A 16,589-nucleotide genomic window follows, 5' to 3' on the forward strand; every position below is an offset into this window, starting at 1 on the left:
CTAGGGAAGGACTATCTTTGTTTTACTTTCCCTAAACTTGCTTCAGCTTGTTTGTCATCCCCTAACGCAGCACAAAAATTGTCGTTCAATGTAGTATCCACTGATACTAAGCTAGCAGTGTATCCCAAGGCTTTTGAGAATGTGTCAAAGGCAGACCAAACAATATCTGCATAGGGAGCTAGGTTTAATCAGAGTATCTGCAATGTTTCAAAGCATCTCAAACCAGGTAATATCATCTTAACAACAACAAAATCTTCCTTTTCCCCTGAAGAATATACATCTTTTCCTTGCAGAAAAGATTATGAGGCTCAGTTAGACCAACGCGTTAAATGGCTTTCTCCTTATATTTTGGGGGACAAAAATCAGAAAGAATGAATTCATGCATTCATTCCCATGACAATTATTTATTCTGTGTTCTAACTGTGCCAGACCTTCTAGGCGCTGTCCAGCATAGGGCAGTAAAGACAGAGAAAGCTCCTGCAGCTGACATAGTAGTGTAGAGGAGCAGACAGGGCACACAGACTGACAGTCAGCATTCTAGGGTCTACTCAAATGCTTAACGTTTGTTCCCTAAAGAAAATATCTGGGTAATCCCACAGAGTTCTCCACACCTTTAAATTAAACAAACTATCTCTGTCAAGAACCACCAAAAAATTGAGCTTGGAAGTCAAAGGCCCAGCTTCATACCTTGTAAAATAATACAGTGTAGAAGAATAGTTGCAGGCTGAGAAAACAGAAGATCTGAACTGCAATTTTGGCTCTGCCATTACAAATAATAAATCAAAGCAGAGAAAAACCTCCGCAAAACCTAAATGCCCTTAAAAATAGTTTAAAAATAACCTAATTTTTAATTTATTCCAAATGAAAAAATTGTCTGGTTTAATGTTTATTACAATGGTATGGAGGCAAAATAGTAAAACAGCAATGAGTATCCTTGTTAGATAGAGAAAGCTGACATTTTAAAAGAGTTAAAGCAGAGACAGATAAAAATCTGCCGTGAATAAAATTCCATGTATTTCTTTGCTAAGTTTTGGTATTAGAATCAATTATCTCTACTGTGTGTTCAAAAACTAGTATTCCATAGAGATAAGTGGAAAAAGATAGTTTCACTAAAAATATGGTCTAGAAATCCTAATAACCTGAAATGAAAAGAAAATAAAAATAAGACTCAAAACAGGCCAGGTACAGTGGCTCACGCCCGTAATCCCAACACTTTGGAAGGCTAAGGCGGGAGGACTGCTTGAAGCCATGAGTTCGAGACCAGCGCAGATGACATAGCATCTTTACAAAAAAATTTTAAAAATTAGCCAGGCATGGTGGCTGTAGTCCTAGCTATTCAGGAGAAGGAGGTATTCAGGAGAACGAGGTGGAAGGATCACCTGGGTCCAGTAGTTTGAGGCTGCAGTGAGCTATGATCATGCCACTGCACTCCAGCCTAGTCCACAGAGTGAAACCCTATCTCTTAAAAAAGAAAAAAAGAAAAAAAAAACTTGAAACAGTGGTCAGTGGTCAGGAGAGGGAGAATACCAACAAGAATCACAATTTAAGAAATGACAAGATTTCTAGTCTAAAGATGACACCAAAGAGCTTATGTGGGTTCCCTGACAGAAAATCGGCCTCAAGATAATCTGAAAAGGAGGAGGAGGCAGCTCAAGATCTGTCATCAGATCTTCCTCCCAACACTTTAAATTTTATTCCAGACAAACAAGAACGCCTCTCTCAAACATTTACCATTTGCAGACCCTTTAAAAGACATATGGCACTCATGAAATCCACTGAGTCCAAGTTTTAAAAAGTTATCCCAATCTTAATTATATAACTTAAAGTTTTAATAAAATTACAAAAAAAAAAAAAAAACACCACAAAAAACTGCTGTGTGCCAATGACAGGGACAAAGATGATTTGTACCTCTCCCCAGGGTTTCAATACACAGCCAGGAGGCAATGGCTTGCACTATAGGTTCCATGTCTAGGAAGCTTATTTTCTCAATTTTTACTAAATTAGAAGCTCTTTACTCAGACTTTTAAAACATCAGCAAAAGCAGCAAGCATTTGGTCACTGCCGGAGGATCCTAGATATATAAACAAAATAGAGACTCCAAAATTAAGACTCCACCCTAAATGTCTAAGAAACACACTATATCTAAAAATTAATATTTCAATTACGGGGATTTGATTCCGATCCTTTAAAGCTCTGGAAGCTATTCATATCATACTGTGGTATTTAGATGCGGTTTTCAAAAATATGCCCAGTAATCTCATCAATTTCTTCCTCTAATAAAATTATCAAGGTTTAGTAAAGAAAAAACATCTTACTAACTCCAGTATGATAACCTAAATGTTAAAAAACTGTGATATTTTTGCTCAGAAATAATGCTGTCAAGCTACCCAGGAAACTATATGTTTAGCAAAGCATGTCACTTTGGCAAATTATTTATAAAAATAGAAATGGCTTTATTGGCATTAACTGTGTCATAAATAAGGGGTAAAAATGTAATCTCGTCTCTAACTTCGAAGATTCATGCAAGCATCTTTCTCCTCACAGGCAGTATGGAAAAGCAGGGTCAGACTTAAGCTCATGCCACACGTTTTTCATTCAGCACACTGTAAAGAGGAATACTTGGGCCGGGCATGGTGACGCATGCCTGTAATCCGAGCACTTTGGCAGGCCGAAGCGGGCGGATCAGAGGTCAGGAGATGGAGACCATCCTGGCTAACATGGTGAAACCCCGTCGCTACTAAAAATACAAAAAATTAGCTGGGCGTGGTGGTGGGCGCCTGTAGTCCCAGCTACCCGGGAGGCTGAGGCAGGAGAATGGCGTGAACCTGGGAGGCGGAGCTTGCAGTGAGCCGAGATCTCGCCACTGCACTCCAGCCTGGGGAACACAGCAAGACTGTCTCAAAAAAAAAAAAAAAAAAAAAAAAAAAAGATGAACACTTAAAGGTGGAAATTTTAAATTTATTATTTTGACTACTTCCTTCCACAATGAATTAAGATTAGAAAGTATAATACATTATTTCATAAAGCCCAAGACTCTGCTGAGTAGAAGAAGGAAAGAGAGCTGGCAATTTTAATTCTAAGACATCATATATTAACAGATGCATCCCAATTTCATAGAGTTCAGGTGCAAAAAAAGAGGCCTGGGGGTGGAGGTGGGGGGGGGTGGGGGGGAAGGGATTCTAAAGCAGATAAAGCTGTTCCCAGCAAACGAAGTAGTGGATGGGGAGGCACTGTGGTAGCAATATCCTCTTCTTGAAGCACAGCTGCATTCTATCATACGCATTCTATCCATCCCACTTTTTCCAGTCTATGTCATAACTCAACACAATTGTTAAATAGAAAGTCTCTTCCCTTGAATCAGGGATTTTCCATTACAAACGAAAAAAGAAAACACCTAGTACCTCTCCATACAAGAACACATATGTTCAGAATGAATACTCCTGAGCAGATCAACTACGAGCCTGAATATCTAGTAATGTGCACAATTAAAATAAGTGCTTTTGTGTATTGTATGTGACTGATATTGACCAGTATTATCCAACAGTCATTTTGTAAAGGAAATATAATTACTATACTTTCTCTCCAAATAATATTTGTCAGTAACTCATAAAGCCCAAGACTCTACTGAGTAGAAGAGGGAAAGAGAGCTGGCAATTTTAATTCTAAGACATCATAGATTAACAGATGCATCCCAATTTCATAGAGTTCAGGTGCAAAAAAAGTTGTTTTTTTTTAGATGTTTTTACAAGGTTCTCTGCTACTACAGTGAGACTTCTGCTTTTTTGTGTTAAACAAAGTGCTACTTTGAACACTGCTCCTGTAGTTGGAACTCTTGTCCATCTTTAAAGACAAGATTCATTATTTTTGGAAATAAGCCTTTGGAAAATATAAAATATCTCATTTCACATCTATCCTCAAAAACTTTATTGATTTATAAAAAAATCTCTTTGTATTTTTAAATCACATATGTCCTGATGGCACTGTGCTACCACTTGATAAAGTCATAAATACACAAAGATTCTTGGAACTAGGAGCGAATGACTCAAGCAACCAATAAAACCTATTTCAGACATATGTCACTGAAATTCCTATTTACACTCTTGTTTTTCAACTGCCTGTGTAAATCATCAAACTCCTAGATTCTTATTCCCAGTATATACAGATCCACATTCCATTTTAACCAGAATTTCCCATCCTGGCCACTAATGATGACATTTTGGGTAGGCTAATTTTTTGTTGTGGAGGACTATCCTGTGCATTGTAAGATGTTTCATTCACAGTGCCCCGGCCTCTATCCTCTATATGCCAGTAATGAGCGCACACACACCTCTTCCCAAGTTGTGGCAACCAAAAGTGTCTCCAAACACCTCCTGATGTCCTCTGGGGAGTAATCCCCAATACCCCTCCAGCCCTGAACACTGATTTAAGCACTGGAATTCTGTTTAAATGTCAAATTTATTTTAGTCAAATAAAACAGTGCTATGTTACTATTTTTATGATTGGATAATCTACTGCTGATCCACTTTTGAGAGGGGATTATAACACAAGGAGAATGAAGCATCTGAATGCAACAAATATGTAATTGATGTAAAAATGTTAACCAAAACAAACTACCCTATTAATTGAATATTATCTGACACATGGTAACCAACTTACTATCCTTTATGGTACATATACAACCTTTAAAAAGTTAATAATTACTAAGAACATAAAAAAGCATTCTAGAAAACACATAACCAATCTTACATTTCAATGTGTAAAACGTATATGAATAAGATTGTTTCAATGCCTTATCCTCCAAAAACATCAAAATATGAGGATCTTTTAGAAAGTAAAGGCCAAGTTAAAAAAAATTAGCTGCTATTTTAAGTAATAAGTATTTAAGCTAATTCACTACCATCGAAATGTGATATAGGCCCCAGAACATGCAGGAACCTTTAAAAGGTTAGATTAAACTAACAACAGATACATACGCAATTAAGATCTTGAAGTTGGTTGTCAACTGCAGCAATTAGGACTTCTCATAAAACTTGTCTCTTGTTACAATACTATTTACTAATACTAATGAGAGAAAGAATACAAAGTGGGGAAGAACACGTAGTAGTCTGTTTTTATACTGCTATAAAGAACTGCCTGAGACTAGGCTGTGTAATCTAGAAAGGACTTTTAATTGACTCACAGTTCAGCATGGCTGGGGAGCCCTCAGGAAACTTACAATCATGGAGGAAGGCAAAGGCGAAGCAAGACAACTTCTTCACAAGATGGCAGGATGAAGTGCTGAGCAAAGGGGGGAAGAGCCTCTTATAAAACCATCAGATCTCCTGAGAACTCACTAACTCTCATGAGAACAGCATGGGGGAAACCGCCCCCCATGATTCAATTACCTCCACCTGGTCTCTCCCTTGACAAGTGGGGATTATGGGGATTACAATTCAAGATGAGATCTGGATGGGGTCACAAAGCCTAACCATATCAGACCACAAGCCTGAATTAGTATGACAGTATTACTAATGTAAATGGCAAGGAAGAGAAAGGTTAAACATACGATGTTCATCCTTCAGTCTTGGCTTAGAAGCCCCTTCTTTCTAGAAACGTACTTAGTTCCCCAAAATTCAGGTTCAGTTTCTTCACTTGGTGCACTATATTTCTGCTTTCATAAGATTAGCCCTAAATTATGCTATAATTGTCTTGTTTTGTCTACATTTTCCAAATAAGCCACTGTGTCCCCAGCACCATGCAGATGATTGGCACCAGTGGGTGCTTTACTAAGTCCTTGCTTTAAAATAAAAAAAAAAAATTCATATGAATACTGTGATAGCTCTCCTTATGGTATGTAAAAGAAATAACATACACAAATTTATCCAGCATAATTAAGAATATCAAGGAAAGGGGAGAAATTCCTGATAGCAATCTAAAACACTGTAAAGACTCCAAATTTTTACAAATCTCAATGAGCTCTGTGTATGACGGTCTCTATATTTAGAAGGGGTGAACTGAAATTATATAGCTAATTTTACTTACGTCTTTTGCAGAAAAATACTCTGTGCAAAAATAAAGATAATATGTTAGATGATGTTTAAATCCAGAATTTTACTCCACTGGGCTTATCCAAATAAGCAGCTTACAAATCAACGTACTTTGCAATCAAATACATTTTCAACTAAAACATGTAATTTTCACCTGAAAAATGTGCAATTGAAAAAAAACTGTTCGATGATGGTTAAGATGTGTTTTAACCATAGAGGGGCATATGTTCTAATGTGGCTGGATCCCCATTTTTACATGTCCTAATGTCCCCCATGATTTAGCATTTACTTGGGAGTAAGGCATTCCAGTTTGTATGGTGAATTATATGGTCACAGTTAAATGCCATTCTCATATACTGAGAGCAACAACGTTGAAGAAAAAATGCTGGCACTAACAATAATAGCTTCCATTTACTGAGCACCTATTACACTTCAATCAATAAACCTGACAGTTTCCATACTGCACGTAAGGTAGGTACATTTTTCCAATCGTCACATGTGTAACTTGCCCATATAATAATAAGTGACAACTACAGCTCAAGGCTAGACTTTCTCAGTTACCAAGCTCATGTTCCTTTCAATATACCATAAAATGTTTATGTCCTGTGATTCTTTGATTCTGTTGATAGAAATCTAGAATAAGGTTACAATTCTAATTTGAAAGAAAAAATATTTGTTTTTAAATGGTTACCAAAAACTATGTATACTAATAAAAAAATCAGAAATTACCTAACAGGTCTGATGACAGGAAATGTTAAGTTAAATGTAATATATTCATGCTTTCAAGAGTTTACAGCCCTCTCCCCCTTCCCACGGTCTCCTTCCACGGTCTCCCTCTGATGCCGAGCCAAAGCTGGACGGTACTGCTGCCATCTCGGCTCACTGCAACCTCCCTGCCTGATTCTCCTGCCTCAGCCTGCCGAGTGCCTGCGATTGCAGGCGCGCGCCGCCACGCCTGACTGGTTTTCGTTTTTTTTTTTTGGTGGAGACGGGGTTTTGCTGTGTTGGCCGGGCTGGTCTCCAGCTCCTAACTGCGAGTGATCCGCCAGCCTCGGCCTCCCGAGGTGCCGGGATTGCAGACGGAGTCTCGTTCACTCAGTGCTCAATGGTGCCCAGGCTGGAGTGCAGTGGCGTGATCTTGGCTCGCTACAACCTCCACCTCCCAGCCGCCTGCCTTGGCCCCCCAAAGTGCCGAGATTGCAGCCTCTGCCCAGCCGCCACCCCGTCTGGGAAGTGAGGAGCGTCTCTGCCTGGCCCCCCATCGTCTGGGATATGAGGAGCCTCTCTGCCTGGCTGCCCAGTCTGGAAAGTGAGGAGCGTCTCTGCCCGGCCGCCATCCCATCTAGGAAGCGAGGAGCGCCTCTTCCCAGCCGCCATCCCATCTAGGAAGTGAGGAGCGTCTCTGCCCGGCCGCCCATCGTCTGAGATGTGGGGAGCACCTCTGCCCCGCCGCCCTGTCTGGGATGTGAGGAGCGCCTCTGCTGGGCCGCAACCCTGTCTGGGAGGTGAGGAGCGTCTCTGCTCGGCCGCCCCGTCTGAGAAGTGAGGAAACCCTCTGCCTGGCAACCGCCCCGTCTGAGAAGTGAGGAGCCCCTCCGTCCGGCAGCCACCCCGTCTGGGAAGTGAGGAGCGTCTCCGCCCGGCAGCCACCCCGACCGGGAGGGAGGTGGGGGGGGGTCAGCCCCCCGCCCGGCCAGCCGCCCCGTCCGGGAGGTGAGGGGCTCCTCTGCCCGGCCGCCCCTACTGGGAAGTGAGGAGCCCCTCTGCCCGGCCAGTCGCCCCGTCCAGGAGGGAGGTGGGGGGGTCAGCCCCCCGCCCGGCCAGCCGCCCAGTCCGGGAGGTGAGGGGCGCCTCTGCCCGGCCGCCCCTACTGGGAAGTGAGGAGTCCCTCTGCCCGGCCAGCCTCCCCGTCCGGGAGGGGGGAGGGGGGGTCAGCCCCCTGCCCGGCCAGCCGCCCCGTCCGGGAGGGAGGTGGTGGGGGTCAGCCCCCCGCCCGGCCAGCCGCCCCGTCCGGGAGGTGAGGGGCGCCTCTGCCCGGCCGCCCCTACTGGGAAGTGAGGAGCCCCTCTGCCCGGCCAGCCGCCCCGTCCGGGAGGGAGGTGGGGGGGTCAGCCCCCCGCCCGGCCAGCCGCCCCATCCGGGAGGAAGGTGGGGGGGTCAGCCCCCCGCCCGGTCAGCCCCCCGCCCGGCCAGCCGCCCCGTCCGGGAGGGAGGTGGGGGGATCAGCCCCCCGCCTGGCCAGCCGCCCCGTCCGGGAGGTGAGGGGCGCCTCTGCCCGGCCGCCCCTACTGGGAAGTGAGGAGCCCCTCTGCCCGGCCAGCCGCCCCGTCCGGGAGGGAGGTGGGGGGGTCAGCCCCCCGCCCGGCCAGCCGCCCCATCCGGGAGGAAGGTGGGGGGGTCAGCCCCCCGCCCGGCCAGCCGCCCCGTCCGGGAGGGAGGTGGGGGGATCAGCCCCCCGCCTGGCCAGCCGCCCCGTCCGGGAGGTGAGGGGCGCCTCTGCCCAGCCGCCCCTACTGGGAAGTGAGGAGCCCCTCTGCCCGGCCAGCCGCCCCGTCCGGGAGGGAGGTGGGGGGGTCAGCCCCCCGCCCGGCCAGCCGCCCCATCCGGGAGGGAGGTGGGGGGGTCAGCCCTCCGCCCGGCCAGCCGCCCCGTCCGGGAGGGAGGTGGGGGGGGTCAGCCCCCCGCCCGGTCAGCCGCCCCGTCCGGGAGGGAGGTGGGGGGATCAGCCCCCCCCCTGGCCAGCCGCCCCGTCCGGGAGGTGAGGGGCGCCTCTGCCCGGCCGCCCCTACTGGGAAGTGAGGAGCCCCTCTGCCCGGCCAGCCGCCCCGTCCGGGAGGGAGGCGGGGGGGGGGTCGGCCAGCCGCCCTGTCCAGGAGGGAGGTGGGGGGATCAGCCCCCCGCCTGGCCAGCCGCCCCGTCTGGGAGGTGAGGGGCGCCTCTGCCCGGCCGCCCCTACTGGGAAGTGAGGACCCCTCTGCCTGGCCAGCCGCCCCTTCCGGGAGGGTGGGGGGGGGGGTCAGCCCCCCGCCCGGCCAGCCGCCCCATCCGGGAGGTGAGGGGCGCTTCTGCCCGGCCGCCCCTACTGGGAAGTGAGGAGCCCCTCTGCCCGGCCACGACCCCGTCTGGGAGGTGTGCCCAGCGGCTCATTGGGGATGGGCCATGATGACAATGGCGGTTTTGTGGAATAGAAAGGCGGGAAGAGTGGGGAAAAAATTGAGAAATCGGATGGTTGCCGGGTCTGTGTGGATAGAAGTAGACATGGGAGACTTTTCATTTTGTTCTGTACTAAGAAAAATTCTTCTGCCTTGGGATCCTGTTGATCTGTGACCTTATCCCCAACCCTGTGCTCTCTGAAACATGTGCTGTGTCCACTCAGGGTTAAATGGATTAAGGGCGGTGCAAGATGTGCTTTGTTAAACAGATGCTTGAAGGCAGCATGCTCGTTAAGAGTCATCACCACTCCCTAATCTTAAGTACCCAGGGACACAAACACTGCGGAAGGCCGCAGGGTCCTCTGCCTAGGAAAACCAGAGACCTTTGTTCACTTGTTTATCTACTGACCTTCCCTCCACTATTGTCCTATGACCCTGCCAAATCCCCCTCTGCGAGAAACACCCAAGAATGATCAATAAAAAAAAATAATAATAAATAAATAAAAAAAAAGAAAGTTAGCAAAATGTCAAAGATCATGAAATTTCATGTTTATTGCGCATGTCTGGGTGCTCTGTTGATGGGCTGACAATATTGGGATGAGTAATAAAGATGTGGAATTTATAAATTAAAAAAAAAAAAGAGTTTACAGTACAGCTTAAATAATGATCGTGATGAGGATTATTCAATAATACAAAAATGTACTTAATCTGAAACACATACAAAAGGTAAAAACTGGCCAGGCGTGGTGGCTCACACCTGTAATCCCAGCACTTTGGGAGGCTGAGGTGGGCAGATCACCTGAGATCAGGAGTTCGAGACCAGCCTGGACAACATGGTAAAACCCTGTCTCTACTAAAAATACAAAAATTAGCCAGGTGTGGTGGAGCACGCCTGTAGTCCTAGCTATTCAGGAGGCTGAGGCACGAGAATCACTTGAACTGGGAGGCAGAGGTTGTAGTGAGCCGAGATCAGGCCACTACACTCCAGCCTGCGTAATACAGCAAGACTCTGTCTAAAAGAAAAGGTACAAACACTCTATGACCGGGCACAGTGGCTCATGCCTGCAATCTCAGCACCTGGGAGGTCGAGGCGGGCGGATCACCTGAGGTAGGGAGTTCAAGACCAGCCTGACCAACATGGAGAAACCCCATCTCTACTAAAAATACAAAATTAGCTGGGCGTGGTGGCACATGCCTGTAATCCTAGCTACTAAGGAGGCTGAGGCAGGAGAATCGCTTGAACCCGGGAGGTGGAGGTTGTAGTGAGCCGAGATCGAGCCATTGCACTCCAGCCTGGGCAACAAGAGCGAAACTCCATCTCAAAAAAAAAAAAAAAAAAATCTAAAATTTTAAAGCATGTTTTAAACGTTTAGAAAGAATTATACCAACCTAATAACTACTGTGTTAAAGATGACACAAGATAAACAATTCTTTTCTAAATTCTGTAAAATACTGTTCTGATAATTTTATTATTCAAAAACTTACCAAGGGCTAAAAGTTCACAGAGAGTACATTCTGTTCTCTAATTCATAACAAAATTCACATGCTCACAAAAGTGATAGTTAAGTTTAAAGATATAGATAAGATAGGGAGAGAAAAAGCAAATGAGAGATGCAAGAATTTAAGGAGTTCAGTAACGGAAGTATTTCAAGAGGTAAACCAGATGTTCCTATGGAACTGCATCATAGAATCCAGGAGACAGAAAATCATAATGTCAATAGCTGTACTCAGATCAAAGAGCATAAAAGCAGCGTCCATCCACTACAGAAATGTCCATTATACTCAAAGGATCAGGCCACTCTATGCTCTCAGCAAAACCCAGAATTAAAATCAGTTGAAGGCTGTTGATTAAGAAAGTACTAGAAAGATGAGAAGATTGCTTCCTCAAACTTTTCACTGGTAAATGGAAGCTTGGCAATCGGGGCAATACATAGAGGTCAAAAGCATAATTTAAGTCAATAAAGTCTCAATTGAAGCTTTAAAAAGTTACTAACAGTGATTGGTATAGATCCATTTTACTTGCTTTTGCTGCCACCATCATGCCTTCCTTTCCAAGCATCTCTCTCTTGCTTTACTTTTACACAGGCAATGTTGTAGACAATGTTGTAGGCACTCCCTCCAAAAACCTCTCAAAACCAGATGAAAAACTCCTTAAGATATTCCTGTCTCCAGAGGCAGCACAGTTCAAATGCCGTCACAAAACACTTCCTAGGTCTATATCACCTTTCAAGAGGATAAAAGATGAATACTCTGGTTAAATTACTCACAATAGGTAAAAAGTAAAAATTATTCCAAGCGATCTGTACCTATTAAATTTACCTTCCCTCCAAAATTAAAATGGAATTAAGGTTATACAGAGTAGTATGTAGCTACTTAAGCTGAGAATGTTTGGTTTATTGAGGGGTAAAAGTCTTACTTTCCAATTGCCTGTTACTTCTATTCAACAACCTAATCAAGAGAATATATAAAATGAAATGCTGTAACATGTGGTTTGCTACGGTTGTGACCCATGAACTTTTCCATAGAGAACTATGCTTAGATGATAATCATCTGACACTGAATTATGACTACTACATTAAGTGCCTGTCCAGAGAAGATCAATTAAATTTCCATGAATGTTAAAGGTCAAAACATCTCAGGCTACCTACCACCTACTAAACAATAACATTTTACAGATGGCATCATAAAACAAAAATTTCAATAGACATCCCTTCTATCAGGAATAAAGGCAGATAAAGCTATACCCCACACATTAAGCAGAATGCCTTTTCATTATTTCATGTTCTATGTAATGAATTTATCTCCTTAGTATAGATAGAGATCAGGCTGCTTCATACATATTTGCTCCAATTTTCAATTTCACTTGTGTATTGCTCTGCTCTGGCTGCCATTACAAAACAACATAGACAAGGTGGCTTAAATAACAGGATTGTATTTTCTTACAATTTCTAGAGGCTGGGAAGTCTAAGATCAAAGCTGCCAGCCAATTATACTCCTTGTAAGAGACCCTTCCTGGCTTGCAGATGGCCGGCCATTTTCTCACTGTGTCCTCAGGTGGCAGAAGGAAGAGTCACGCTCTCTTGTGCCTCTTCTTATAAGGACATGAGCCCTGCTCTCATTACCTCATCTAACCCTAAGTACCTCCCCAAAGGCCCACCTCCAGCTATCATCACACTGAGGGTTAGAAATTTGACGTAAGAATTTTAGAGGAATGTTAGACATTCAGCCCTTAACAACTCTTATTTAACTTTCTCAATTTGGTGATGGTACGTGTGCATGGGGATGGATGACATAAATTAAAAGTTTTTATTTAAACCGTAAATTTTGTAATAAGAAATGGTTGATATCAATATTCACAAAAAAGACTATATAAGAAAATAATACCAAAGTTGGGTAAAGCAAAAAACAATCTCTGGTTACGAAGATGCTATTTTATAAATGCTAAAGGTCACATTAATACTTGGTGATTTATATAATCCAGGCAGGTTACATATGTTGAATTCTTTCTAATTCTAGCTATCCTTATTTTTTTCTGAAGCCACGGGCATGATTAATAGTAGCCCATATTTATTCACAGTTTACTACACAGTAGCCACTTAGCATGTATTCATGTTAATCTTCCCAACAGTTCAACAATAAGACTACTGTTTCTGCCCCCATTTGACAGGTGAGGAAGTCTAAGCACTGTCCCCTGCAGTAGTACAACTTTAAAATACAGAGTTTAGAAAAGAGAAAAATAAGATATGTCACTAATAATTCCATTTCTGCAAAAAGAACTAGTCAAAAATCTGTAGCCTTTCATTGGACTATTAATAAAAGGAGCCTGTCTTTGTTCTATGTTTTAATCTCAAAGAGATGCTCTTATACAACCACTGGAGAGGGCCAAGATGAAACTGGGCAGAAAGGATCAAGTTCTTCCCAGATGGAAGTCCTGCAGATGTGAGGGCTTTTTCCAAAGTATTTGATTGAAAGTAGAAAAAACAGAGAGTGAATTTTCTAAAATATATCCACTGTAAAACTGTTCTTTATGGATCCCCCCTAAAGTGAAGATCTAGAATGAACACAGTTTTAAAGCAGTTTCCAAAAGACACGGTGATTCTTCCCTTTCTTCAATTAATATAAACTTTAAAATTACCTTGCAGCTATTCTATTCCTATTATTCCAAAGAAACAAGATGATGCATTTCTCCTTAACTACTACTGCTATTTTTTTTTTAAAGCAACAGTCCTTAATGTTACATAAAACTGCTAGACAATTATTGATGGGAAGGAAAAACACAGAAATCTGGAATATCATGAAATCTTTTCCAGACTCAGAATTATGACCAGGGCTAAAATTCAAAGATTGAAGGAAATAGATAAGAAAATAATTCTTTTGAACTGTACACATACACTACAGGAAATATGCATAGCATCAAAACAACACAGCATTTTACAGTGTTTATAAATCAACATCCTGCAGATGTTATCATTAGGAATATCCACAATTTGTTCAATTATAAAATGTTTTAAATTGTCATATTAACAAGAAACTCATATCTGCTTCAAATGCTTTTTTGGAAGGAGTATGTAAATCATAAATATTTGCTGTACAGTCAAGAAAGAATACTAATTTACTATTTATTCGTAAGGGATACTTCTTAAAAGGTATTTTTCCCCAATGTTTTCATACAGAGTATAGATGCAATATGAATCAGAAAAATATTTATAAAATGTAGCTGTAGCACAACTTATTTGATATTGATATTATGCAAATCACTCCGTCTTTAGGTTATACAAGACTGTGTGTTCTCCCTCTCTTATGTGTGTAAAACAAACTTCAAATTCTGATTTCTTATGATGTTTGATGTAAGAAACTAACCAGGAGGATACCCTACAGAGAAACAGAACATCTGGTGAAACGTGTAACATGCCTCAGGATTATGTCTGCTACTAAGGTTAGTGTGCAATGTGAGAGCTGCAATCTCCGTGTTAAACAGTAAAAGCATAAGAAAGAACTAGGTAGCAAGAAGCCTGTTCTTCAGCCACAGAATACTTTCTTCTCAGCAATGTGTTAACACTGAGCCTCACACAGTATTTGGAGAAACAGTTTTATAATAAGTATACTTCGGTTCAGAACACGTAGCTGTTCAATAGACTGCTTCTCCCATATGACTGCTGATTACATCCCTTCCCCAAATATACTAACCTAGGCATTCATCAAGACAGGATGTATGCTGTTGCTTGTCTGTGATTCATCAATCTATTCTGCTTTTATTTTTCAACCCACCAGTAAAAGAATTTGGAGCAGAAGAAATAGGAAAGAAAAACTGAGCAAGTCCAGGTGACCAGGAGAGATGGCATTATTAACTCAAAAGGCACACAATGCTCAGCAGCCTTGCTCCTCCATTTGTTTTTAACTTTCAATTTTCGACCATAAACAGCAACAACCAAATTCTACGCTTACTTCAGTATAAATTGCCTTACATTTGTGACATTTTTAAAAGCCCCTACTGTGTCATGAAAGGTTCCCAAACAAGGAAAGATCTGCACAGCAGGAGAAGAACCTACTTGGATTTTCTGACAGCTGTGAAGGATCAGTCTCCTACAGTAATAGAAATCAACGGCAAACTGAAAAGTGTTTAGAAATAAAATGTTTCCATCACCTCACACTATCAGCTACTTCCATTAGTACCCATGAAAAAGACACTGGATTTTACCCAGCATTTTAATACAATAAACTTTACTGACAGTAGAAAAGAGAATACAATTACAAACTAATCCTATTATTAAACATAGGAAGTCATCAATGAAGAGAAAGAATACTTCTATCCCTTCCCTACTGGACTATACTAATCACAAAAGCCTTACACAACAGTTTACAAACGCTACTCATGAAGCTTATTTTGGGCTCTATATTCTGAATCAAAACATTATTACTTCAAATATAAAAGCATCTCATCAGGAGTTGATTTTACATCAAGTTCAAAGTCAATGATAAGCTCCATGGAATGAGTTTTGTGTGTCTGTGGATATCCTGACTACCTACTTATCAGAAAGAATAATACAATCTACAAACCCTGGAGACCAAACGTGCTCGAGTCATCCATATTACAATAAAAATAAAAAGGTTGTGGAAAGATAGTCATCAGTCATTACAGAGTCAGTCCCAACTCCAGTTCTTGATTTCTGCCAGTATTTCCTGAGCACTTAGCTCTGTTTCTAGGATCTATGGTAAAAGCTGACACAGCCAGCTAAATTAAGACACATTCCTTGCCTCTGAGCAGTTCAGAGTATGTTTAAAAAAAAAAAAAGCCACATAAACAATACCAGCTGATCAACAGGTTGTAGGGTACAGAATTAATGCAAAGGGGATGACTGTGGGGACAGGGGAATTAGGAAAGGCTTTGCAGAGGAAATGATACCTCTGCTAGGTTTTGCGGGATGGGCAAGAGTTTGCCAGGCCAAAAAAATAAAAAATAAAAAGTGAAAGCAGTATTTCAGCCAGAGGAAACCACTGTGCAAAGGGATAAAAATGTGGATAAATTTTTAGGGTAATCTTCAAACAATCTTATACTATATATAGGAGAAAGAATAAAAAATAAAGCTGGGAAGGCAGGCCTGAGCCATTATCTCAAAGGGCCACAGGCCAGGGAAACTTAGACTTTACTGAACTGGCAAGAAGGTGTCAGACAAGGGTTTAGTTGAAGAGTGACACTCAAACTTCTGCTGTAAGACATTACCTAGGAACAGAGGATGGACTAAAAAGGAAAAGACTTGGATGAGGAAACCCAGTAAGAGGCCACTGCAGTAATTCATGCACAAGATGATAATGAAAGCCTGGAGTTAGGAAATGTGAATAGGCAGTTAGCATGAAAACTGGAATATAAGCAAGAACTGTATGTGTTACCTTTAAAAGGGGCTCATGGAAAAGTGCATCAACAAGAAAACATCAAAATTCCAGGAAGAATTTTAGGCCAGATACAGTACTAAAGGAATATTGCAAAACAAATTCAATTATTAAGAATCAACAAAGTTTACACATTCACAAAAATGACTAAAAATCTCCATCTTACTTGCTGAAACTTTTGGAGCTTCAGCAAAAGAAAAGCAAATCACAAATTGATGGCACTAAATTCACAAATCAACAGTGTAATCTCCAAATTTTTAAATAACTGCTACAATTTATGATTACATTGTTTCATTACTGTATCACATAAAGACAAAAGTAGGAATTCACAAAAAATTGATTTGTCTGTTTGTGCTTTATGAAGGGTCAGGAAACATTTGTTTAATTTGGGGCATTTTTATAGGATTTTAAAACTGCATCATTTCCAATGCTGCTTTCATTTCTGAAATAATTTTCAAATCTATGGTAAACCATCTAAATTTAAAGAAAAAAAATCTCTAACAATGAGGGTTGCTAAGTTATT

General features: G+C 42.3%; 1 protein-coding gene across 8 annotated transcripts in view, besides 1 other annotated feature; it reads right to left on the bottom strand.

Moving 5' to 3' along the window:
• EIF3H (eukaryotic translation initiation factor 3 subunit H) overlaps positions 1–16,589 on the bottom strand; it is a 124,245-nt gene that overhangs the window by 29,038 nt on the left and 78,618 nt on the right. The gene's annotated exons all lie outside the window — the stretch shown is intronic.
• Positions 6,941–7,854: an enhancer, noted in NCBI's record as "H3K27ac hESC enhancer chr8:117690347-117691260 (GRCh37/hg19 assembly coordinates)". NCBI's record gives its function as "activates a minimal SCP1, AML or CMV promoter by ChIP-STARR-seq in primed H9 embryonic stem cells {active_cell/tissue: H9 hESC(primed)}" and the evidence as "EXISTENCE:reporter gene assay evidence [ECO:0000049][PMID:30033119]".

The sequence above is a fragment of the Homo sapiens genome, chromosome 8, assembly GCF_000001405.40.
Source record: "Homo sapiens chromosome 8, GRCh38.p14 Primary Assembly".
Lineage (NCBI taxonomy): Eukaryota > Metazoa > Chordata > Mammalia > Primates > Hominidae > Homo > Homo sapiens.